We start from the raw sequence: 27,135 nt of genomic DNA, 5'->3' as shown, positions 1-27,135 counted from the left end.
CTCTGTCTCCCTAAAATTCGTATGTTGAAATCCTAACCTCCAAGGTAATGGTATTTGGATGTGAGGCCTTTGGGAGGTGATTATATCATGAGAACAGAGCCCTCATTAATGAGATTAGTATCTTTATAAAAAAGTCCAAGAAAGACCCCTCAGCTCTTCCACCATATGAGGACACAGCTAGAGGGTGCCATCTGTGGACCTGGAAGTTGGTTCTCACCAAATACCAAATGTGCCAATGCCTTAATCTTGGACTTTCCAGCTTCTAAAACTGTGAGAAAGAAATTTCTATTTTGTTTATAAGCTACAGAGTTTATGGTATTTTGTTATAGCAGTACAAATGGTCTAAGAGAATTACATGCTAGTGTCATAGATCTAGAAGGTGTATGCCTCCCTGCAGCTATATAGAAGTATTGGCTATTGGTCAGAAAATCTTATGAGATGTGTTTCCACAGGATATATAAACCAGTGGCAACTATTTTATACCAAACTTGGAACTCATTACAAAGAGTAAGATTAAATGGAAGAGAATGATTATACCTTTTTAAAGTTTACTATAATGGGATTTGAATGTGAATTCCCAATCGTAGATCCCCTTTCCTATTAAGAATTAAAATGTATCAACAGCTTTGGAAAAAATATAATGGCCCATATGTTTTAGAATTTGACAAAAGTAACAAAGTTGCATATATTATTGAGTTCAATATGATGATAGCAAAAAGGCAAATGGGAGTGCCAAAATAGAGGGCAAAAGTGAAGCAGCTATATAAATGGGATGATTTAGCACTCAGTGAAGGAAACAGAATTCTTCCTGCGACCAAATTTTACAACATTTACATGTACACTGATGATTTTTTTCATAGTACTTTTCAAACATACTTATCAGATTGTTTGGACTATATAGATCAATGCATCTCAGCCTTGCTCACGTGCCCATTGTACACATGTGCACTTGTAATGACCAACAAAGTTCCACTGATGGCAGCAGTTTCAAAAACAAGCTTCCTAGATAATCACTAACCGCCCCCACCAACCATACTATCAACCTAATAGTGACCTTTTCATCAGGTATAGTTGTTAGAATTTCTTTGTCACTAATTCATCATTATAGCCAACACATATTGATTTATAGTCTGGTAAGGAGAAAATTCCACTTACAGGAACTTTGACTGTTTAGGAAATAGTCTGAATCATCCAGAATTATCTGTAAAAGCATCTTTAAATGTTTTTTCATCTCTGAAATTTGGTTTAGTCTCTGAGGTAATGGTTTGGCATGTGAAGTCATCTTTACCAGGACAGAAAAATTTCTTGTATAACTAGAGTAAAGGGGAACAGAGTTTAATTACTCATGTGTTTTTAAAGAGCACAACTTTATTGGAAATAATTACTTGTTTGCCCAAATATTTGTAGAGATTTTGTGACATAATTAAAAGCACAAAGACTACAGATTAGGAAAAGGAAGATTTTCTTTAAGGAAATGTTATGTAAGCAAAGTTTTTGTTACTGATTGAGTTTGAATCATTCCTCATTCATTTTTTCCTTCATTCATGATTTCTGAAATTATTTGAAAAATTATAAAGGAAGTTAGCAGCAGATGTATTTTATCATCATAAATAGTCACTCATTAAGGGGACTCATCTAACGCATGGCGTAAAGTCCCTTTACTTAGAATGATGAGGTCCTCATAAGAGCACCTGTCTACCTAAACTGCATACTTGTGAACCATCCAAGTGCCCTTCAGGATGATGAGCTTTTGATTAGCCCTTTCAATTAGTGTTTATTTTCCTAAGTAGAATACTCACAACAGTTTCAAAGCTCTGAATCTCCTTTAATCGCTGCCTTTAAATTAAGAGGAATAGATTTTTATAACTGGTCTCTTGCTGCTTTGACCAAAAGATCAAGTACGAATGCAATTTAAATATGAAAACCAGCATCTTATTTAGAGTGAAGACTCACTCTAAACTAAAGGTGAAAATTCACTCTAACTCCATTAAGTAAAAGCTAATACTATGCATCCAGACACTGACATATACTTGATTGATAGTTGTGCTTTCCCATCAGTGGAAAGATGAAAACAATAATTTTCTTGAGGAAACTGCACAAACGTATTCAACTTACACCACTTTTCCCAAATACCTTAGAAATCTAATATTCCTAGTTTCATTTCTAAATACCTCATGAAATTGGATGTTTTAAGTCACTATAAAAAATCTATAAAGGACATTATTGAAGCAATTGGGAAATTTGAATATAGAATATATATCAGATAGTTCTATTGCATCAATACAAAATTTCTTGTGAATGGTAGTGGTAACGCAGTTAGGTAGGAGAATGTCTTTGTATATTTACAAGATAGAGGCTGAAGCATTTAGGGGTGAAAAATCTGCAACCAACTTTCAAGTTTTTCAGCAAACTATATTTATACATATACATATAAATAAATATACATAGCCAGGTAAGTAGATAGATAATAGCAAATATGGTGAAATCTTAATAATTAGTGAATCTAGACAAAGACTGCAAGTTTATTTATTTTATTTTTCTTCCAACATTTTTCTACAGACTTGAATTTATTCAAATTTAAAGCTGTGAAAAACTTACTCTATTTGCCACAATTATCATCTCCAAATTTTGAAGCCATTTATTATTTATTGACAAAAAGAGAGCTTCTCGCAGGATGGCTGGAAAACAATGCATTCTGCAGAAGCAGGAAAAAGTAAATCCAACTAGTGAGGATAGGCAAGAAATTCAGGGTAAGTCCAATGGCTGAGAAGTCAAAAGGTACCTGAAAAGCTCAGCGCTAAGTCAGCCTACTGTTGATTTTGCTCCTTTTTGGGCCACAGTACCAGTAATTCACCTCCTGAGTTATTGTGTGTCCCAAGGTCTTTGCACTAACTTCTATTTCTAATGCTTAAGTGTGTGTTTCCACCACACCTCTCCCCATCTAGTGCTTCCTGACCCCATGCCTGAGTACCTATTAGCATCCCTGTCAAGTAAACTCCTCTAGAACTAGGTCCCTTTTTTTTTTTTTTTTTTTTTTTTTTTTTTTGAGACAGAGTCTCGCTCTGTCACCCAGGCTGGAGTGCAGTGGTGCGATCTCCGCTCACTGCAAGGTCCACCTCCCAGGTTCACGCCATTCTCCCTCAGCCTCCTGAGTAGCTGGGACTACAGGTGCCTGCCACCACGCCCAGCTAATTTTTTGTATTTTTAATAGAGACAGAGTTTCAGCACTGTGTTAGCCAGGATTGTCTCAGTCTCCTGACCTTGTGATCCGCCCACCTCGGCCTCCTAAAGTGCTGGAATTACAGGCATGAGTCACTGTGCCCAGCACAGAGAACTCTTATATGACAGATCACTTCACACAGGTCTCCATGGGGACAATGTGGGTCCCTAGATATGGTATTTGATATGGTTTGTCTATGTCCCCGCCCAAATCTCATCTTGAGTTGTAGCTCCCATAATTCCCATGTGTTGTGGGAGGGACGTGGTGGGAGATAATTGAATCATGGGGGCGATTTCCCCACACTGTTCTCCTGGTAGTGAATAAATCTCATGAGATCTGATGGTTTTATATGGGAAAGTCCCTTTTGCTTGGCCCTCATTCTCTCTTTGCCTGTTGCCATTAAGACGTGCCTTTCGACTTCTGCCATGATTGTGAGGCTCCCCAGCTACGTGGAACTGTGAGTCCATTAAACCTCTTTTTCTCTAAAAATTACCCAGTTTCAGGTATGTCTTTATCAGCAGCGTACATTCATTGGCAGATGCATCACAACAATAAATATGTCATGAGCCAATGACAAGGTATATCAAGAATTACGAGGTTCACAATGAAGATTAAAGTTAACAGATTACCTAGGGTTACATGCTATATCATGTTTCAGGCCCAGATTCTCTTGTGGCTACCAAGAGGTGCATATCTTTTCAAAACCATCAAAATTTCAAAATTTTAGGTGGGTAGTGGTCTAGAGAAAGAATATCATCACAAAAATCTAAAGCCCTAGGTCTCTGTACCCCTACTGGCAAAACACAAGACTATAGATAACAGGCTTCTTATCTTCTGTCAGTAGTCTGTTACCTTCCCCACATTAGGGCTAAATTCCATGCTGCTCATTCTCATTAACTGTATCCTTCACATCGCTTCCCCAGCACCACCCCCCACACCTGCTTCAACACACCTGGACTCACCATGTTTTAGTGTTTTGATAACTGTTCCACACACTAAACTATAAACTCTATCAATGGTGGAAATTATGTTTATTCACCTTTGTCCTCTCCATGCCTAACACTGGGCCTGGTATGTGGCAGGTGCTCAAAAATATGTTTGCCAAATTTAACTTCACATACTCCAAATACAGTTAATCTTATGACCTCTTGTAGGCATGAATTAAGTTTAGGATGAGGGGCTAATTTAAGATCAGTTTAATAGCCAAAATAATGTTTTCATCATATTATAAATCCAATTCTTCCAATGTGTTTTCATCAAGAAAAGAACATGTTCTGAGAGATCAACAACTACCAAAGAAATCTCTGCGTCAATAAATCCTCTGAGGGACAGAATTTTTAAACTGAACAAATAATATCTGAGTCTCATGCAAATATGAGACTTTAATAGTAAATATAAGACTAAATCATAGGGGCACTGTGATGGTTAATTTTAAGTTTACTTGGCTGGGTCACAGTGCCCAGATATTTGGTCAAATAGTATTCTGGATGTTTCTGTGAGGGTGTTTTTGGATGAGATTTATACTTAAATCAGGTGACTTTAAATAAAGTGGATTACCATCCATAAGTGAGTAGGCCTCATCTAATCAGCTGAAGGCTTGAATGGAACTAAAGGCTGACCTAAGAACGAAAGGAAATTAGATAGCAGACTGCTTTCAGACTTCTACAAAATCAGCTTAATTCCAACTCTTCTGAGTCACCTCCACAATCACATAAGCTGAGTCCCTTAAATACATATTTTTATTTATTTATTAATTCATATACTTAATATTATATACAAAATTCATGAATATTTATATATTCATTAATATTTCATTTATAATTCATTTATATTATATATAAATACATATATATATGTACACACACCTCTTTGTCCTTTTGGCTCTGTTTCTCTGGAGGACCCTGACTAGTACAAATAGTAGTAAGAAAAGAATTTACCACTCAAGACTAAAGACATGATCTGCCATCCCACTTCAGAAAGACATACCCCGCCCTACTTCTATATGTGAAGAATCCCAAAGTTTTACCATAACTACTTAGAATTTATGGCTATATTTCTATAGTCTTATAGGATACCTGGGTCATGTTGATTGAGCTATTGCATTTACAGAAAATTAAGGACAAGAGAGAGCAAGCTTCAATCTAAGGAGACTTCTTCCCATTTCCCATACAATCACCAGTACTTAGTTTCATAAACACAAAATTCAAACACACATACACACATGCACATTCATTCTCTGTGAGCTTTATGCTACCCTCTCTGGAATCCTCTTGGTTTTATCAATACCTGAGTCTACCACAGTGCAAGAGAATGAATGTTTATGTCGCTCCCAAATATACATGTTGAAATCCAAATTCCAGTGTGATAGTATTAGGATGTGGGACGTTTGGGAGTTAATTAGGTCATGAGGGTGGAGTCTTCATGATTGGAATTGGTGCCTTAAGAAAGCGACCCCAAAGAACCCTCTTGCCCTCTTTATACCACGTGAAGATACAAGAAGAAGATGGCAGTCTGCAAAGAAGGCCTTCCTCAGAACCCAACCATGCTGGTACTCTGATCTTGGACTTTCATCCTCTAGAACTGTGAGAAATAAATTTCTGTTGTTTATAAGCCTCCCATTCTATGGTACTTTGTTATAGCAGCATGGACTGAGTAAGAAGAATGAGCTGAACCCACCACCCCAGCTGATGTAGCCTGGCTAGAAGATGTAGTTTCACTGTGGTCCCTCTGTATGAGGACTGGTAAACACTCAGGCTGTGAAAGTTATTCTAACAGAAAACCTCAATACATAATGACAAGAAAGTTTTAATATAAATAGACTCCACTCAATCTCGTGAGCTAAGGAACCATTTCTCCTTTGAGTGTCAGTCCTGCCAGTGACGTCAGGATATAGGCCTATTGTCTGGCATTCAGCTTCCATCTTTCAATGCATATATGTTAGAAAATGATTAGATCTAAGAACGTCCACCTAGTGCAATATAGTCACGATAGAGTTTTCAGTCAGTCATGTATTTATTCAATCAGTAAAAGTCCCTAATCTATTTTTTTTTTTTTTTTTGAGACGGAGTCTCTGTCGCCCAGGCTGGAGTGCAGTGGTGCCATCTCGGCTCACTGCAAGCTCTGCCTCCTGGGTTCACGCCATTTTCCTGCCTCAGCCTCCCGAGTAGCTGGGACTACAGGCACCCAGCACCACAACCGGGTAATTTTTTGTATTTTTAGTAGAGATGGGGTTTCACCGTGTTAGCCAGGATGGTCTCTATCTCTTGACCTCATGATCTGCCCGCCTCGGCCTCACAAAGTGCTGGCATTACAAGCTTGAGCCACTGTGCCCGGCCATCCTAATCTATTTAAATATTTGCTGAGCCACTATACTATCCTGAACATTGTGCTAATGTCCAAAGATATGCTAGTGAGCAAAGACAATCCCTGAAAACAGTATTCCCTTTTTCTCCTTAAGCTCATATGCCAGTTGGGAAGGTTGATGTTAATCAATGAATCACAGAAATGAATATGCAATTGAACTGTATTTTGTCGTAAAAGAGAGGAGGCATACGGCATAAGAGAGCATTGACATGGGCCAGGGTCCACAATGGTCCCCAAGATTTCTACCCCCTGGTGTATATATCCTGTATAATCCCCTATCCTTGAGCATGGGCAACACGTGTAAATGAAATAAGGTATCTCTCCTATGATTAGGTTACTCATCAGTTGGCTTTGGGTTCATCAAAAGAGAGATTATCCTAGGTGTACCTGGATGGACCTCACCCAATCAGAGGAGCTTTTCAAAGACGGTGAAGTAGGGAGATGGAACAAGATGGGAGAATAAAAGGCTCCAACAATCGTCACCCTCACCCACCCACAAACACCAATTTAACAACTATCTAAACACAAAAAAGCACCTTCATAAGAATCAAAAATCTGGTGAGCACTCACCTGAAAGAGGCACTGAAGAGGTAGGAAAAAGTCTTGAATCTCCGACGCCACATCCTCTCTCATCCCCAGCAGTGACAGTGTGGTACAGAGAGAAAAATCTGAGCACTTGGGAAAGGGAGAGCACGGCAATTCTGAGACATTGCATTAAACTCAATGTTGCCCTGTTATAGCAGAAAGCAAAACTAGAAAGAACTCAGCTAACATCCATGCAAGAGAGAACATTTAGCCCGGCCTTGGCCAAAGGGGAATTGCCCATCCCAGTAGCTTGAACTTCAGTTCCTGCAAGCATCATGACTGCACAGGCTAAAGTGCACTGGGGCTCTAAATAAACTTGAAGAGCAGTCTAGGCCACAAGGACTGCACTTTCTAGGAGAGTCCTAGTGCCTGTTGAACTGGGCTCCACGACTGTGGACTGTGAGAGCAGCAACCTACTGAAACACTAGCCAGGGTAGCTAACAGAGTGCTGGTGACATACCTCCCCTAACCTGAGGCTGCATAGCTCACAGCTTTCAGAGAGACCCCATCTTCCACTTGAGGAGAGGAGAGGAGAGGGGAGAGTGGGGAGGACTTTGCCTTGCATCTTACATGCCAGCTTAGCCACAGCAGGATAGGGCACCAGTCAGAGTCATTAGGCACTCTTTTCAGGCCATAACTCCTGGATGACATTTCTAGACACAATCTGCACCAGAAGTGATATGGTTTGGCTATGTCCCCACCCAAATTTCATCTTGAATTGTATAATAGCTCTCACAGTCCCCATGTATCCTGGGAGGGACCTGGTGGGAGGTAATTGAATCATGATGACAGGTTTTTCCCATGCTGTTCTCATGATAGTGAGTAAGTCTCATGAGATCTGATGGTTTTATGAAGGGCAGGTCCCCTGAACATACTCTCTTGCCTGCCGCCATGTAAGATGTGCTGTTGCTCCTCCTTCACCTTCTGCCATGATTGTGAGGCTTCCCCAGCCATGTGGAACAGTAAGCCCATTAAACCTATGCCCTCAGTGATGAATCCCAGGACAGGCAGCATTCACCAAGCTGACTGAAGAGCCCTTGGGCCTTAAGGTAACATCAGTGGTAGCCTGGCAGCACTCCCTGTGGGCCTATAGTGGCAGTGGTCATGAGATCTTGCTTACAAGAAACACACTTCACCTACAAAGAAACACATAGACTAGAAATAAAGGGATGAAAAAAAAATCCCATGCTAATGAAAACCAAAGAAAGCAGGAGTAGCTATATTTACATCAGACAAAATAGATTTCAAAACAAAGGACACTATATAATGACAAAGGGATCAATTCAGAAAGAGAATACAATAATTTTAAATATGTATACACCCAACACTGGAGCACACACACGTATAAAGAAATTATGATTAGAGCTAAAAAGAGAGATAGATCCCAATAAAACAGTAGCTGGAGACTTTAACATCCCATTTTCAGCATTGGACAGATCTTCCAGGCACAAAATAGACAAACATAAAACTTAATCTGCACTATAGATCAAATGGACCAAATAGATATTTACAGAACATTTTATCCAATGGCTTCAGAATACACTCTCTTTTCCTTAGCACATGGATCATTCTCAAGGATATACCATATGTTAGATCACAAAATAAGTCTAAAAACATTCAAAACAATGAAATAATATCAAGCATCTTCTTTGACCACAAAGGAATAAAATTAGAAATCAATAACAAGAGGAATTGTGGAAACTATAACAACATGTGGAAATCAAACAGTATGCTTCTGAATGACCAGTGAGTCAATGAAGAAATTTCAAAGGAAATTGAAAAGTTTCTTGAAACAAATGATAATGGAAACACAACATACCAAAACCTATGGGATACAGCAAAAGAAGTACTAAGAGGGAAGCTTATATCTCTAACTGCCTACATCAAAAAAGAAGAAAAACTTCCAATAACCACTTTAACAATGAATCTCAAATAACCAGAAAAGCAAAACAAACCCAAAATTAGTAGAAGAAAAGAAATACTAAAGATCAGAGCATAGACAAATTTGAAATGAAGAAAACAATACAAAACGATTAATGAGAAAAAGTTGTGTTTTGAAAAGTTAAACAAAATTGACAAAACTTCAGCTGACTAAGAAAAAAAAGGGAAGATCCAAATAAATAAAATCAGAGATAAAAAAGAACACATTGTAATGGATACTGCAGAAATTCAAAGGATCATTAGTGGCCACTATGAGCAAATATATGCCAATAAGTTGAAAAATCTGGGAGAAGTGGGCAAATTCCTAGGCACATATAACCTACCAAGATTGACCCATGAAGAAATGCAAAACCTGAGCAAACCAATAACCAGTAACGAGATCAAAGCCATAATAAAAAGTCTCCCAGCAAGGAAAGCCCAGGACCAGATAGTTTCACTGCTGAATTCTGTCAAACATTTAAAGAACTAATATCAATTCTGCTCAAACTATACGGAAAATAGAGGAGGAAAAAATACTTCCAAACTCATTCTATGAGGCCACTATTACACTGATGCCAAAACCAGACAAAGACGCAAGCGAAAGAAAACTATAGGTCAATATCTCCAGTGAACACTGATGCCAAAATTCTCAACAAAATACTAGCAAACTGAATTCAACAATACATTAAAAAGATCATTCATCATGACCAAGTGGGATTTATCTCAGGAATGCAGGGATAGTTCAACACATGCAACTTCAACAGTGTGATTCATCATATCAACAGAATGAAAGACAAAAACAATATAATCATTTCAATTGATACTAAAAGAGCATTTTATAAAATTTAATATCTCTTCATAATAAAAACCCTCAAAAAACTGGGTATAGATGGAACATACCTCAACATAATAAAAGCCATATGTGACAGACCCACAGCTAGTATCATACTGAATGGGAAAAAACTGAAAGCCTTCCCTCTAAGATCTGGAACACAGCAAGGATGCCCACTTGCACTACTGTTATTCAATATAGTACTGGAAGTTCTAGCAAGAACAATCAGACAAGAGAAAGATATTAATGGCCTCCAAATTGGAAAGGAAGAAGTCAAACTATCCTTATTTGCAGATTACAGGATCTTACACTCGAAAAAAATCTAACTCCACCAAAAACTGTTAGAAAAGATAAACAAATATAGTAAAGTTGCAGGATACAAAAATCAATAGCATTTGTATATGCCAAAAGCAACTTGAAAAAGAAATCAAGATAGTAATCCTATTTATAATAGCTACTAATAAAATTAAATACCTAGAAACTAACCAAAGAAGAGAAAGATCTCTGCAATGAAAGCTATAAAACATGGATGCAAGAAATTGAAAAAGATGCAAAAAGTGGAAAGATATTCCTTGTCCATGGACTAGAAAATCAATACTGTGAAAATGTCCATATGACCCAAAAATCTGCATATTTCATCCAATCCCTATCAAAATATCAATGACATTCTTCACAGAAATAGAAAAAACAATCCTAAAATTTATATGGAAGCATGCAAGATCCAGAATACTTAAAGCTATCCTAAGCAAAAAGAACAAAACTGACTTCAAATTATATTACAGAGCTATAGTAACCAAAAATCTCATGAAACTGGCGTAAAAACAGACACATAGACCAATGGAACAGAATAGAGAAACCAGAAATAATTCATACGTCTACAGTGAACTCATTTTCAACAAAGGTGGCAAGAATATACATTAGAGAAAGGACAGTCTTTTCCATAAATGGTGCTGGGAAAACTGGATATCCCTTTGCAAAATAAGAAGACTACACCATTATCTCTCACCATATACAAAAAAAGTGAAATCAAAAAATATTAAAAACTTAAATTTAGGACCTCAAACTATGAAACTACTAAAAGAAAACATTGGGGAAATTCTGCAGGACATTGGAGTGGGCAAAGACTTTTTTGAGTAATGACACACAAGCACAGGCAACCAAAGCAAAATGAACAAACGGGATCACATCACGTTAAAAAGCTTACGCCTGTAATCCAAGCACTTTGGGAGGCCAAGGCGGGTGGATCTTGAGGTCAGGAGATCAAGACCATCCTGACCAACATGGTGAAACTCCGCCTCTACTAAAAATACAAAAATTAGCCGGTTGTGGTGTCTTGTGCCTGTAGTCCCGGCTACTCAGGAGGCTGAGGCAGGAGAATCGCTTGAACCCGGGAGGCAGAGGTTGCAGTGAGCCAAGATCGCGCCACTGCACTCCAGCCTGGGTGACAGAGTGAGACTCCATTTCAAAAAAAAGAAAAAAAAAAAAAAGCTTCTGCATAGCAAAGGAATCAAAACAGAAACCCACAGAATGGGGGAAAGTATTTGCAAACTTCCCATCTGACAAGGGATTCATAACCCAAATATATAAGGAGCTCAACCAATTCTATAGGAAAAAATCTAATAATCCAGTTAAAAATTGGCAACAGATCTGAGTAGATATTTCTCAAAAGAGGACATACAAATGGCAAAAAAAAAAAAGGCATTTGAGAAGGTTCTCAGTATAATCAATCATCAGAGAAATGCAGATCAAAACTACAATGGGATATCATCTCATCCCAGTTAAAATGGCTTTATCCTAAAGACATTGTATGTCAGTATCAAATTATTTCATGTAACCCATAAATATATATACCTACTATATACCCAGGAAAATTAAAAATTAAAAAATTTAAATTAACAATAAATGTAAAAGTAAAATATAAAAGAAGGTGGAGCATCAGAAAGATGCACTCCTGCTGGCCTGGAAAAAAGTTAACAGCCATCTTATGGTCTCCCTATGGTGTCATGTGGCAAAGAGCTATACACAGCCTCTAGCTGCTGAGAACAGTCACTGGCCAACAGCCAGCAAGAAACAGGGGACCAGGTTGTAGTCATACAACCTCAGGGAATTTAATTCTACCAACTATCAGTGAGCATGGAAAAGAGCCCTGAGCCTAAATGAGAAAAGCAGCCAAGCCAAACCCTGATTTCAGCCTTGTAAGATCTGAGCAGAAAATCTAGCTAAGCCATGTGCAGGCTCTTAACCCAAGGAAACTATGAGATAATAAACTTGTGTTCTCCTAAGCAGCTAAATTTATGATCATTGGTTTTGCAGCAATACAAAACTAATACAAACATAGAAGATAGAGTTGACCTAGTCAGAGAAGGCTTTCTTGGGAAAGGGATATTTGAACTGAAATCTGAGGAATAAATTGAATTTAACCAGAGGAAAGGTGTTGGAGGTATGGAAATCAGATACAAAGGATTTAGATTTAGAATCTTTAAAAGGCTTGGGGCTAAAGGAAGCATGGCAAACACAAGAAATATAAAGACATCTAGAGTGGTAAAGAAGGGGGAAATAGAAAATTATGTGAGGGGAGGGCAGGGGTGGGGGAGGTAGATAAAGCAGGACTTTGAAGACCATGTTAAAGAATCTGATTTTATTCCCAGTGATCAGTGTTACTGTTCTTTTCCCCTAGTGTTATCAGGAGTATCTTTTACTGGAGATTTTCATCCCAGGAGTCTCTGGGAGAAGCTCTATAGCTTTTAATTCTGCTGCTTGATGAGATAAGGATCATCCTACCTTGCCCAAGATCCTTCAGTGGACATATAGGGTGCTCTATCTTCTAGACTTATCTGAAGATCTTATGCTTCTTGATCACTTTCCGTCAAACTTTGAAATGAGTTGAGAATTAGGAACTATGGGGAAGGTGACAGGGGTGAGGAATAGAGGAGGAGAAAGAGAAAATTATCCGCATTGTCAAAACTGTAATATACTTCACCTCTAAACTCTTATTCTCTGACTTTTCTAACTGTCCTGCTGCAGATATAGGTCTTATATAAGAGGAACTCAGGATACAATAGAATCTTCCAAAAGTAGACATGTTTCTATAATGTAACATCAATATGATACCCTTTAAAGTAAGAGTAAGTGAAGTTTTCAAACACCTCTTTGGCCACTCTTTCATAATATATGAAAAGATTATGTTTCTCATGCAATATAAGATCCATCTTTTTTATTCTCTGACTTTTCATTCTAAAATTTAAATGCCAAAATTAAGTCAGTTTTTACATTTGAATCCCTTTAAGAAATCCACACCAACCTTGACTTAATGAGTCAAACAAACTGCTAAGGTTATCATAAAGAAAGCAAGTATTTCTCAGGTTTCCATCGCCTGCAAGGGAAAGTTTCACTGTTAAACACTTTTTAAAAGGTGACTGATAAAGTATAATACAAATTACATAAGTTATGGTTCACTAGATTCAGCAATTCCATATTATATAGAAATTTAATCAATCTTTCAGGGATTTCAGACATATCACAGTAGGAGGCACTTTTGACCTTTCATGGAGAGGTAAGCAAGATGAGGTACTGAACTGCATATTTCAGTGGGTTTGTTGGATTATGTATAATTGTCTTTTTCAGAATTTCTGGCTGAATTTGAGCCTTCCTATTCGGCAATTTATTCCATTTTACATATGAAAAGCAAAACCTACGATTTGCCTATTTGAATCAAAAATTTACCCTTATGCAAATCTAAATCATTTCTCTCTCTGCCTCAAGAAAGCTACAGAATAAATAAAGGAGGGTATCATGCAAAGCTATATGGATTACATTAAAATCATCCCCTTTGCAGCCCTTTTATTCTCCCTTAATAGTCCTGATTAACAGTGCTGGTCATAATTAATGAGTGTTCTGTTTCACTTTTTAAAGTGTGTCAGTTTGGATGACAAACTGTATGTTTATCCTAGTCAATTCTGGCACTATATCCAGGAAGTTAACCCTAATGCTTCTACCTAGTTGTTACTGTCCTATATTGGTATTGGATAAAGATGGAGAGGGGGTTACACCTTCTTCAATACAGGAATCAGTATAGCTCAAAACACTTCTTTGGGTTCCAAAGAAGTAGAGAATACTATGAAAGAGAAATAGAAAACCTAAAGATATGCTACTAAAGCACAATTCACCTACAAATAAAAAAGATAATAAAACATTAGCTTTTTATGAACAAAAATACAAAAAGTCATACACAATCTAATGTATATGACCCTTAACCCTTAGAATTGTGTTTTTTTCTCCATTCTAAAAGTTTTAACACTTAATATTTAAAACATAACAACATCAACAACAAAAACCTTAGAGTTTAACTAGTTAGAATTTCTCATTTGATAGATGAAGAAGTGAAGCCTCAGAGAGGACAATGATTTACCCCAAGACTACCCAACTTACTGACTACCAGGAACCTGAGTACCTTGACTGAATTGACAGTTCTTTCCCATGTCATGCTCTCTCTCTTCTTACAACTAGAATTATATATACAGCTGTCAGATTTTGAGTATATTTATAAGAAGGACTCACAAAGAACTCATTTGCCATTTATCCTGGCACAAGGTGCCGCCCTAAGAGCACAAACCTTAGCCACAGTCAGTTAAATATCTATCATAGTGCCCAGGCTGGTATAAAGCTAGAAGTTTTAGAAGTGTTTGTTTGTTTGTCTTTGCTATTCCAAGAACAAAAATATATTTTTCCCACATGACTTAATGGCCTTGGCAGATTACAGGTTTTAACTGACGTCCCCTGAGTGAGACTGTCAAAAATGGAGCAGAAGGATAGCCACAGCTTGGAACTGAGAACTGAACCTGCCAACTATTGGAGAGTTTGCTCAGCCTTCTAGTGAAAACTGGCCATCTCTACTAAAAGCAGAGAATAGAAACAAGGGATGGGTCAGATAAAATATTCTACCTCACAGGGGGTTTGTAGGGTGGTTAATTCGTTATATTTCTATAGTATGAGACAGTTTTCTTCTGGGAGAAAAGACAGTATTACTATACAAGTCAGTAAATAAACAGTTTAAGTTCACAGCGCAGAGCTGAATGCAGATTGATGATTTTTCAAATAGCTTATGGTAGTGATTATGACTATGAGTAATGAAGGGAAAAATGTATTTTTTAGACAAATTATGTAAACATTTTCAACTTGAAAATGCAAGCATTAACTATCAAGAACACAAATCTAGATTAAAAATAAAACAAAAGGACATTTTCAATGTATTTCTGTTCATTTTTCAGCACGAGTGAATTTTTTATGAAATTAATTTCCTTTGTATTTACAACAATGGATCAGAGTTAAAATGGAAAAATAAAACCAAATTAAAACAATGAGCTATTGTCTTTGTTTTCTAAACAAGAGGGAAAATAAAATCCTCACAGGTTTAGAAACAGTGATACATTTAAAAATTAATATTGGCAGTCTTTATTTACTTGACAATTTCAAGATTGTAATTAAAGACGCTCAATAAATGCATAATAGACACAGGAAAGCATTAAAGGTGACATTCCAACCATGAGAGCTCTTTTAGATAGTAACAAAAAGAAAAAAAAGGTCTAATTTTACTTTCATTGATAACCATATTCTCAGCTCTTTGAGAACCAGAACATTAGCATCCATAATTGTTTGAGGTGTATCTTACAGTTCAATGCTTCAAATTCACTCTTCCTTGTAGCGGGGGAAAAATGGTTAATAAGCGGTTAAATGAAGAGAGTCCAGTGTTTGCCTTTCCCTGGCAGATGCCCATGGCCTTGTCCATTTCTGCTTCTCTTGGTTCCCTAGAGCACCCTGTACGACACTAGAATATGGCAAATGCTTAAGGAAAATGTGTTGCCTCAACCACTGTACCTTACAAGGTAGGACTCTGAGCACCTGTAATAATGTATCTTAATAACCAGAACAAACACTTGCTCCTGCTAAATTCAGGCAGTAAAATTTTGCCCCTAGATTTTAATGGCTCTAAAACCTAGAAAAGGCCAAATCTTTTATAAAATGTTATCAGATAATACCTTCACCCAGGACTCTGAATACATTCACATAAAGTGTTCCCTGTCTTTCCATCAAGGTTTCTGTCAAGAATCTCTTAGCATCATTGGCTGTATTTACACTATCATTTCACTACCAAGATGAAGTAGTAATTTTCAAATGTGAAACAGAGCATAATAATACTTTAAAGGACAATTGACACTTTATTATGTAAGTCAGTGCCAACATTATGGGGAAAACCTTTAGGGATTAAATTGAAGGGTGACTTTGATCTAATGGTGTCCACAGTCCTACACAGGACTAGTGCCAACCAGTAATTCACCTGATTAACTCAAAAAAATTATTCAGGATTCCAAAAAACAAAATAATTCTCTAGAAAATTTAAGCTAAAACATTTTTGGACCAAATAGAGGCTAGCACAAGAATCTAAAAAGAAAGTGCAAAGAATGTTTAACATAATATAGAATCAAACAGGGACGTGTTCATATCTCTGTTGTCAAATGTTAATTTGAATTGTTGCTGGGGATTACTGTAAGACAAGAGTAGCAACGAGACTTGCAGATGTAGCAGATTCATTGTGTGCCTTATAACCAATCTAGATTCAGTGTGCCACCACCTGTAAACATGAGCAATAGATTTCTCTTTTTTAAATGGCCTGGAAAGTATTTAACAGGCTATCCTTGGAGAACTAACACTTTTTGAACTAATTAATCACCGAATGCCACCACTGCTCCAATCCAATGAACATGAAAAAGGAGTTATTGGGCGATAAAAAAAATTCTCTAGAAAAGAAAGTGTTGATACACCACTACTGGAGGGCAAACTCCCCTGCAAACATGTACAAGTTTTTTTCGAAGATCATCATTTTAAATAGCAGAAAAAAATCAGAAATGTGTTAATACTGACATTAATTTGAACATTTTTTATTTCCTTAGTACTTTGAAAGAAATAGGGGACAAAGAGCAGCTAGGTAATTAATACTAAGAATATTAAAAGGAAAAAGTGTTTTTACAGTAGCTAGAACTCTGGACTGGACTCAGCTGCAAAGGAGACTGAGTTCTATTTTTGGCTTGACAATTAACCAACTTTATAACTCCAGACAATTTACTTCAGCTCTGTTCTCAGTATCCAAAATAAAAAGTTTAGACTAGATGATGTTTAAGATCTCTTCCAGTCCTAATCTTCTATAAAATGTCAACATTTTTAGAACTACTTTTTCTTTCACATCTGTACAGCTTTGTCAATATTTATGCCACTATATAAGAGTTATGGTTTGGATTTAGCATTTACAATCAATATTTGAATTTTCATTATTACTTAGCTAAGTATCTCTGAATCCTGACACTGTTTGCTCTCTCACATACTTTAATAATAATAGTAAACAAGGGAATCTTTATGAAACCAAGCAGTACCTAAAGGTTGTGACTGACCAGAGACAAATATCAAACATAAGATACTTTGAATATATTATAAGCATCTTCTTCTTAGCACTTCAAAGCACAAAGCATTTTTCTTGTTCATTATATTCTTATGGTCTTCCAGTTATCTGCAGAATACTAAAATAGGTTTAACAAATGGAAGAGGTGCAAGAATTACGCAATTTGTTACAAGAACCCATGAAGTAAGAACTTTAGTTCTTGTTCAACTGTTCACTATGGAAAGCTACATAAAAATTACATAAGGTAAATGCACTAGATGCAAAAATCTGAAGACACCTGCCAACAGGCAAATGAAAATAAAATCTCTGCCAGCGAGGACCATAAATAGGGAGAATGCTAAGTGTGAGTCCACCCCAAATAGTCTAGTGCACTCAAATAACATATGATATACTCTCTCAGTAACAATAAAAATAACATTTTTTGAAATTTTACTATGAATGCATAATAATTGTGATAAGTACTTCACATAAATTTTTCATTACAGAGGCTGGAGAGCTGAAACTACATGTTCTAAATTTCCTTGTATCTAGAATTCCAGATATAGTTTAGGTATTAACAATTATACGCATTTGCATGATACTTGAATTCAGTACTAATCTAAGTTGGGGGGAAGTTGTGATGCACAAATCATTCATTTTTTCTGGGTCAGAACTAGTAGATGTGGTATGACTCTGGAGTCTAGAGTTCTAGTGGTAGATTGTTGATTCCCCAGCCTCTTAATTGTAGTAGAGTCTGTGATTTTCCTGGCAGAACTGTTCTGCCACTCTTCTGTGAGTCTCCCTGGAGGCCCAGTATAGCTCCGAATCCTCCTAGAATTCCAACATTTCATAAGCAGCTAACTCCTTGCATTTAATATCTTTTTGCTTAAAATAGCTGAAGTGTTTTCTGCTATCAGCAAATGAACCCTTGACTAATACAGAATTTCTTATCAGAAATAATTGTAGATGCAATGCTCAAAGGTGAGCATTTGAGTTTGCTTTAAAAAGTAAGGATTTGATTTCCAGAAAGGGTTGAATATCAGTAGAACATGGCCTCCAATAGAGAAGCAGATACTTCAATTACCACCTATGGTCACCTGGAATGAAGTGCCCACTGAACATACAACTTTAATGAAATATGAGGTGGTTTCCAAAACATAGTATGATGAGCAAAAGGATGCAAGGACAATCAGGTAGATTAGTGACTTATAACTGCATCGGAGAATTACAAGAAGAAAAATAACATGAATTCTTTTTTTAAGCCAAAATCTAAGAACAGGGAGTTTCTCTGACTGCCTTAAAAGAATGTCTTATCTTTACTGTCACAGAGCTGATTCACTAAAAACTAAAAGAAGAATCTGATCCTTTAGTTGCTGAATTACAACAAAATCTTATGTTTCTTATGTGAAAATTAAAAACTTGATTAGGAAAGAATTTCCTAAATTCTTAAGGAAAGTTTAAGAATTTTCCTTAAATTCCCAAGGAAGGAGTAGGACCTTGAGAATTTAAAGGTGACAATTGGGAACATTCATATTTTTGAGTACATAGCACCCCCAAATCCTACCAAACCTCTCCAGTCAACAGAGATCCTCTGCCTGACTGATGAGGCTGGTTCTACCTTGTATGAAGACCTGATAATGTCCCCATTTGAGGCTATTACCTTGTAAAAACATGCCAATTCTTCTCCTTCCACACCCTATTTTCTTCCAGACCTGTATCAAATTTCATCATGTAGTCAGTTAATTACCTGAAACCTAAACTCATTTAGTCCTAAAATCATTTAGTGAGGATGTTGGAAACATCTTTGTATAGCATTATACATAAGAGAGAATGTAAGACTTAGGGAAATTGAAATGTTGAAGTGAACCTATCACATGCCACATCTCCCAGGCCCAAAGCACATTCCCTTCACAAAGACCTTGACAAATGAATTGTACAAGGAACACCTTATCCTCAGAACAGTTCCCCCTGAGGAACAACATCCTCAGAAAGTATAGTCATAGCTATCCTCTGAAGTCAGGAAGGAAAGTGGCATATGTTGCCATCAAAATGGAGTCCTTGATTTGAGTGAGAATGATGAGATCCAAATGTGGCAGAGACTTAACTATAAGAGCTAAGGAGAATAATGTTACCATAATAGGTATTATAGCTAAAGGAATCATCAGAATGAACTTTGACAATAACTAATTAATCAGAGGCTCCTTACGGTAGTGTTACAGGTTCCCCACCATGTTTCTTAAGGGTGCATGTCTCAACACTGAAGGCTGGGCAGTGAGCCAAGGCCATGGTGCCCAGCCAAGGAGAAGGTGCCCTGAGAACCTAAACATCCCAGAGAGTATCTGAGAACCTACCAAGAAAAACAGTCTCATCAGTTAAACACGGTAGGCAAGGGGCGAAAAAATTAGTTTAAAAGCAGTTTGGAGATGGGAGTGAGGGCAGATCTCTAAAGCCGTCCTGCTGCCATCCAGGAGTACCCTTTCTGTAAGTCTTAATAAACTCATCTATTTATCAAACTTGACTTGTTCAAGTCATTCTTTAGTCTCTTGGTTCCTTCCCAGTGTGAAGGGGACATTACAGTCCCAAGCTTTTCTCATAACACTTTTAACTAAAATAAATGGGCAGCCTAATTTGATCCACATAATGAAAACTTATAAATAGAGTGAAAAAAGGCCTGACTTCAGTCACCCTAGTAGAAAATCACAGCCTCATACAAGCCAGGTACAGATGTGGAAGACCTACAAAGATCACCTTCCAGTCTTCCCCAAACAATCCGTAGCTATTTACTGCAGTGACAATGCATTGAGGAAAGAGAAAGACACAGAACTTTTGAAGATTTTCAACACTGGGTCTGGGCTAAAATTAATCCTTGGGAACCCACCGTGATCCACTAGTCAGAGATTAAGCTCATGGTACTCATATGATAAATGAAATTTTGGCCCAAGTCCAGCACTCAGTCAGTTCAGTGTGTCTTCAAATTAATCCTGTAGTTATTTCTCCATTTCCTGGGTATATAGTGAAAATAGACATCCTTGACAGATGGAAAAGTCCCATCGATTATTTTCTGATTCATGGGGTGAGAATTGATATGAGTCATGATATGTGTGGTAACAATCCTCCAAGAGGGTCTCCAGTGACCCCTGCCTCCTGGTATTTACATCTTTGCATAGCACCCTTCCACACTGTGTCAAGATTCGTCTGCATGACAAGTGGAATGTCACATCCAAGGTTAGGTTATAAAGGACATTGTGGCTTCTGCCTTCTTCTTTCTCTTGGATCACTTGCCCTGAGGGAGCCAGCTGCCATGTCATGAGGAAACCAAACAGCCAATGGAGAGGCCCATGTAATAAGAAACTGAGGCTTCCTATCAACAGCCATGTAAGTGAGCCTGAATCATGGAAGTGGACTTTCCAGTACCAGTCAAGATTACAGATCCTGCTGTCCTGACTATAATCTCAGGAGAAACCCTGAACCAGAACCACCTAACTAAGCCAGCCCTGAATCCTTGACTTAGGAAAACCATTCTCAAGTCTAAGTACACATCAAATTAACCTTTTAAAACTCGATCACCTGAGGTCAGGAGTTTGAGATCAGCCTGGCCAACATGGCAAAACCCCATCTCTGCAAAAATACAAAAATTAGCCGGGTATGGGGGCACATGCCTGTACTCCCAGCTACTCAGGAGGCTGAGGCAGGAGAATCACTTGAACCTGGGAGGCAGAGGTTGCTGCAGTGAGCCAAGATCGAGCCACTGCACTCCAGCCTGGGCAACAGACAGAGACTTCATCTCACACAAAAAAAAAAAAAAAAAAAAAAAAGTCATAAATCAATCAATCACTAAATCACTTTAATGTACAAGAGCCAGTCTCCAGAGCCATGTCTAGGATAAAATGGAGAATTTCATTGTATGTTCTCTTTCTTCTTCCTTCTATCCCTCAAACACTCTTATTTGGGTGAAATAAGAACAAAATTAAAGCTAAGGTATAACTTTAAAAGATAGAGATTACACATGAATAGTCTGGGTGGAGAGAAGAGAGATGAAAACAGACAATGGCAGGTTCTTGCTCTGACTAGAAACTCTGTGTATTGGTTTAGACCTAAGGTGTCTCTCTGGATCTCACAAGAAATTATCTTTTTTCCCCCTGGTAGGCTGTCATCACACAGAGTTGCCCAACCACAGGAAAGATATAATTAACTCAAATGTCCACATCCTAGGAACAGCCACCTAATCTCAAACATTCATAATATATCACAGGCTTAATAGGTAAAGTCTGGAAAACCCATATTTGGGTCCTGATATACAAATATCCTATTACCTGTGTGGACACCAGTAGCTCCCAACCCAATACAAAAGGAAATCACCTAATTTCATCACCAATTATTGTGAAATTAGGGGATCATTTCAAAGGAATTCAACAAGAGAGGTCTGAGTAAGAGACATAGAAATAAAAATAGTTCCATAATAACTGAGTATGGATGAAGAAAAGATCAGGAATAACTCCAAATAAAATAATAACTCCTAGGAATTTAGCTTTCAGTATTTTTCCATTCCCCTGTCGCGCAAGATATTGCCCTTTCTGAAGTTCTCAGAGCCCTAATCCTACTCCCCACCCTCTACAAACCCGGGATACCATTCTGGCAGCCCTATGCTGGCTTGACAGAGCTCATATTCTAAATCCATCCATTCTCATTATCACCTTCACAAATTAGCTTTTCTTCATAATATTCCTTCAGCAATCTCTGTTGAAGGTGGCAATTGAAAATGGCTTATGATATTATCTTCCCACAAAATATCTTCATTTGATTGGCAACCTTCGATCCCTTGAAATGGAAGAGTAATTAATGGCGGAAATTTCTAGGACCAAATAGGTAGGATATGCATGTTTCTAACTATATTATACATGCCAAGACAGAGAAAATTTTTTTAAAAATATATTCTGTCATTCGCATGATTGAAAACTCTGATATCTACTCAACCACTTCCCCCTTTGGGAAGAAAGAATGTTGTAGAAGTCTGACACATGCCCTTCCCTTAGAGGTTACCTATTTTTTAGTTAAATATCTCCAGTAATAGAGATCTCGGAAATTACCAATATGACCCGTTCTGCGAACAACACCAAAAATTTGTAAAATTTCATGCTGATGCCAAATCATAACACCTGAATCTCCTACCCATTGATCCAGATTTTACCCTCTGAATGACAGTGATCAAGTCATATTATTTTATCTGACAAGATTTTAAATATGGAATGACAATTATAATGTCTTTTCCAGATTTATATGCTAAAATAGAATTATAACTCCTTCCTGCTAAGATATAATTTTATGCCCTTTTACCATCCCATTTGTTCTTGGATATGCTTTGGTTCTGTGTTTCCCAAATGCTGGTCTAGGAGTTTGCTTTTTAAACATAAATTTCTCGGTCCCATTCACATAGATTATGATTTAGTAATCTTGCAGTAGGACTAAATTAGAACTCTAGGTGAAGTCTAACTCACAGACCAAAGAATTAATCTCCCTGATTTCTATACTCTTATTGATAGAGTATACGATTGCATCTATCACAATTATTATTAGTAACCATTTTCAGGATACAAGGAAATAAAATCAACAGGGAGTATCTATACCACCTTTTTTTTTTTTTTTTTTTTTTGAGACAGCGTCTCACTCTGTCACCAGGCTGGAGTGTGGAGTGCAGTGGTGCAATCCTGGCCCACTGCAACCTCCACCTCCTGGGATCAAGCAATTCTCCTGCCTCAGCATCCTGAGTAGCTGGGATTATAGGCGCCCGCCACCACGCCCAGCTAATTTTTTGTATTTTTAGTAGAGACAGGGTTTCACCGTGTTAGCCAGGATGGTCTCGATCTCCTGACATCGTGATCCGCACACCTCAGCCTCCCAAAGTGCTGGGATTACAGGCGTCAGCCACCGCACCTGGCCTATACCATCTTCTTATTCCAATGTATTGGACAATTGTGTCAAGGTAAATTGCTCGTAAGTGATCACTATCATTGCTATTTTTATAGCATCTCAGCTTAGATTAAACCTGCATTTTAATTTTAGATTTTTCAAATCAAGAAATATTCCACTCCAGAATAGCAGACCTTCGGGTAAGACATCAAAACTTGCTAATTTATGCCCTTATGATTGTATGTATAACCCAATATAGGAAACCATGCCCATTCCATTCCTAATTGTTAATATTTTCCTCACATTTTTAAGTTAAGGCTCAAACTCACCAATATCAAGAAAACTTCTAGTGTTAGCTATGCTTTCCCTCCTCCTATAACTATTCAATAAATACTTGAATTAGTTTTAAGTGTTCATATGTAGTATCAGTGTTCCAAGATTAAAAAACAAAACAATATCTCATATCCTTTAGTAAATCTCCATGGCATTGGGTTTTGCAGTCTTCATGTGATTAGTAAATGAGGGATTATTCAAAGGAGGTGAATAACTTTCTCTATTGTATCATTTTCAAACCTTAATGTCTCCTGTTTTTCAAAAAATACTTATTAAATGTTTATTAGGTACCAGGTACTAGATACTGGGGAAAAGGAATAAATAAGATCTATGTTCCTTCCTTTACGGAGCTTAAAGCCTAGATTGGGAGACATGTATTGAACAAATAATCGCATAGAAGAATATGCAATGAAATTGTGATAGACATTGTGAAGGAAAAGTAGAATAAAAATTAGCTGGGCATGGTGGCGGGCGCCCATAATCCCAGCTTACAACAGGACCTGATTTAGATGACAACTGAGGGAAGACTTCTCTTAGAAATTCACTTTAGGAGAGACCTGAACGATGTGCGGTGCACAGCCAGGCAAAAGAGGACAAACTCCAATCAGAGGTAATAGTACAGGAGAAGATCCCAGGAAGTAAGGAGCTCAGTCCCTTTGGGAGAATGAAGAAAAAAAAAAAAATAAAGACATGTACTAAAGTAAAAGGGAAAATGGATCATGATGAAGCCAGACAGAAACTAGGTTATAGAGATACATAATTCAACTTAGAGGGGTTTAAATATACCTTAAATGTACTGCATGGACATTGAAGATCTGTAGTAGGGAATGTTGCATTTTTAAAAGATCACTCAGGGCTACTATATGCAGAATATGTTGCTGGAAATAAAAGAAAATAAAAATCAAATTTGGAAGCTTCACAGTAGATAGTTTAAGAGAGAAAAGATATTTGCTTAAGCTACTATGATGACAATGGATATCTGAAGAAGCAGGCAGACACATTGTAGAACTATACTCTAGGAAAACCAAAAAGGAGTAGAGCCTGACACACTTGCTTTTATACAATGCCTATAAACTGTATTTATTTTCTATAACTACTAAGACTCACTCTTTAATCATCCCTTTACCTTTTGTATAATTGTTCATTTCAGGTACAAGATCTGCTTAATTTTGCATAACAACTAGCACAGCATGATACCCATATTATAGTCTCTTAAATCCACTTGATTTAGGGGTATCTAACAAGATTCTGGAGTTCCTTATGAGTCAATATTATAAATATTTAAGAGGGTGTCATAAGGGACAGACTTTTATTTCAGTTCAAAAGAACAAACCTCACATTTTCTTTAAATGACATTTTCCCGAAAAAAGTTAATATCAGTTTTGAGTCTGGAATGTCAACCTCATCAAATTAACCTCAAATGTAAGCTTCCAGCAAACACCAATATTTTTAACCTCATTGAAACATATTTCTAAATTTGCAATGAAAATATAACTATATTTTAATGTTGCAAATTAGATTTCTATATGAGACATGCAGGACTTCCAAATATACATGAGGTCAACAGGATGAGACTGCAAAATAAAAATAGTCAAATTCTCACTGCATTTGAATATGGGAATATAAAACTCCTGGTCCTAAGCTGCACTCAGAAAAAAACACATGGGGGAAAAAAATAGTGTTAAAGTCAAATAACATCCTTTAACTTTAAAAATCATGCTAATTCTTCTCTCTCCTAGAATGTCAACCCAAAAAGAAACAATGTGAATTACATAGCTATAGATACTCTTTTTTTATGTTTTCTTTGCTAGAAAAGGAATAGATATTGAAGAAAGAAAAAAAGGTGGGGTGGGCAGGGGACTAAACAAGTGTAAAGAGATTCCAAAAGGATTTACATATATAAAGACAATATCTTCTCCATCAACCCACATTCCTATTTGAAGCTTGATCATTTTCTTCATGGCCAATAAGCACTAACCTAGTGTAAAATAGTATAGAAAAAGTATATGCATATAGGACGGATAAAATACAAGCTGCACCCATTTGGGGTATTTTTATCATTAACTGCTGTTGCATAAACTGAACATACAATGGGCTGTGACACTGGATAAATCATTTGTTTCCACTTGTTATTGATGACATTTCATAACTCATTTGGGGCTCTGCTTTGCCCCGTCACTCGTGAGTTATGAGGTTATCAATCATGACTGGGAATAAATGATTTATGTAAGTTGCCCTATTGTATATTTTAGGTACAGGATACAATAAAACACACACTATTGATTTCTAATATTGTTGCATTACGTTTATCATGTTTGTTTGTGAGACTGATCTTGCTTCATCTGCTGCAACAACTGAGAATGAAATGTTAAAATAACAAGAATATAAATAAAAATGATTCTGAGAGTTCCTGTTTTTAATTAATATCTTGATAAAGTCATTTTTAAGGTCTCCTTGAATTAAAAAACAAACTGTCTCAAGAAAGGGGAATTGTAGTTAAGGGCCTGAAATCAATCTATAAAGTTATGATTAAGAGACAGAAAATGACTGAGAGGAACACACTGAATAGGGCATATGCCATCCTGAGAACCTACTAAGATATTGAAGAAATGCTATTCACTGAGGAACATTTTGCATTATGTATTATGCTTGATAGGATCAATGGCTTAGGAACAGAGATAATATGAAAACATGAAACACTTCTTCCAGTCATTCTAAAGAGCAAAGGGGTAGGGTGGAGAGAAAGAAAAAACAAAAGATTATTTTTGGTGATAAAAGCTTAGCCCCTTTAACTCCACAAGGAATATATCATTTGAAAATAAACATAAAGTGACCCCCAAAATGCTCTCGTTTGAATAAATTTCTTTAGAAGGGGAAATGGCATCTTAAGAGATTAAAGAATTTTTCTTTTGCTTCCTTCCCATTCCTTCCAACAACTGACTTCCTTTTTATTTTCCTGATGAGCTTAAAACTATAAACATGGCTTTAAATATATATAGAACTACAAGAAAATGCAAAGAAATTTGAGGGAGGCAATCAAAAAACATACTGAAAATCAAACCTAGAATAAGAGCATCAAAAATCTAGGAACTTTCAGCTATTTGCAATTACGAGAGTAATTGCTATTTTAAAATGTTTTGCTTGTTCCAGGGAAACTCTGGTTCGTAAGCTGAAATTCAAGGAGTTTAAATCACAGCAAAATCTCTTAGAAGCTGATCAAGACTAAATACACAATCAAAACAACCCATTATCTACATATTTTAGTTGATTAAAATATGAGCAGCATTACATAGAAGATGTTGACCAGCTGTGTATCACCTCCAGTGATGAGGAAAAAAAAATTAATTTGAAGTACACAGAATTTAAGTCAGATATAAAGAAAATTTTCTTCTTCTAATAAAAAATTTCCTTCCTCTAATATAAAATTTATTTCTTCTATATATATTAACTATTGAGAATAGTTGTAGAATTTGGAAATTTATAGCAGCAGTTTCACTTTTTAGACTGGTTTAGATTTCTACTAATCTAATGATCAAGAGTTACATT

At 36.8% G+C, this 27,135-nt stretch overlaps 2 long non-coding RNA genes across 2 annotated transcripts in view; both read right to left on the bottom strand.

Annotated features, from left to right (window-relative positions):
• The window catches only part of LOC101927314 (uncharacterized), a 403,332-nt gene that overhangs the window by 155,369 nt on the left and 220,828 nt on the right, over nt 1-27,135 (bottom strand). The gene's annotated exons all lie outside the window — the stretch shown is intronic.
• Nucleotides 1,243-13,292, bottom strand: LOC107986627 (uncharacterized). The gene is made up of 4 exons (XR_001744269.1): nt 13,222-13,292; nt 12,702-12,817; nt 7,154-7,258; nt 1,243-1,313 (listed from the first exon to the last, which is right to left on the bottom strand). It is a non-coding gene; the product is annotated as an uncharacterized LOC107986627 (long non-coding RNA).

The sequence above is a fragment of the Homo sapiens genome, chromosome 6 (assembly GCF_000001405.40).
Source record: "Homo sapiens chromosome 6, GRCh38.p14 Primary Assembly".
Classification (NCBI taxonomy): Eukaryota; Metazoa; Chordata; class Mammalia; order Primates; family Hominidae; genus Homo; species Homo sapiens.
The sequence above is the reverse complement of the archived record's forward strand: the minus strand, read 5'-3'. Positions and strand labels throughout refer to the sequence as shown.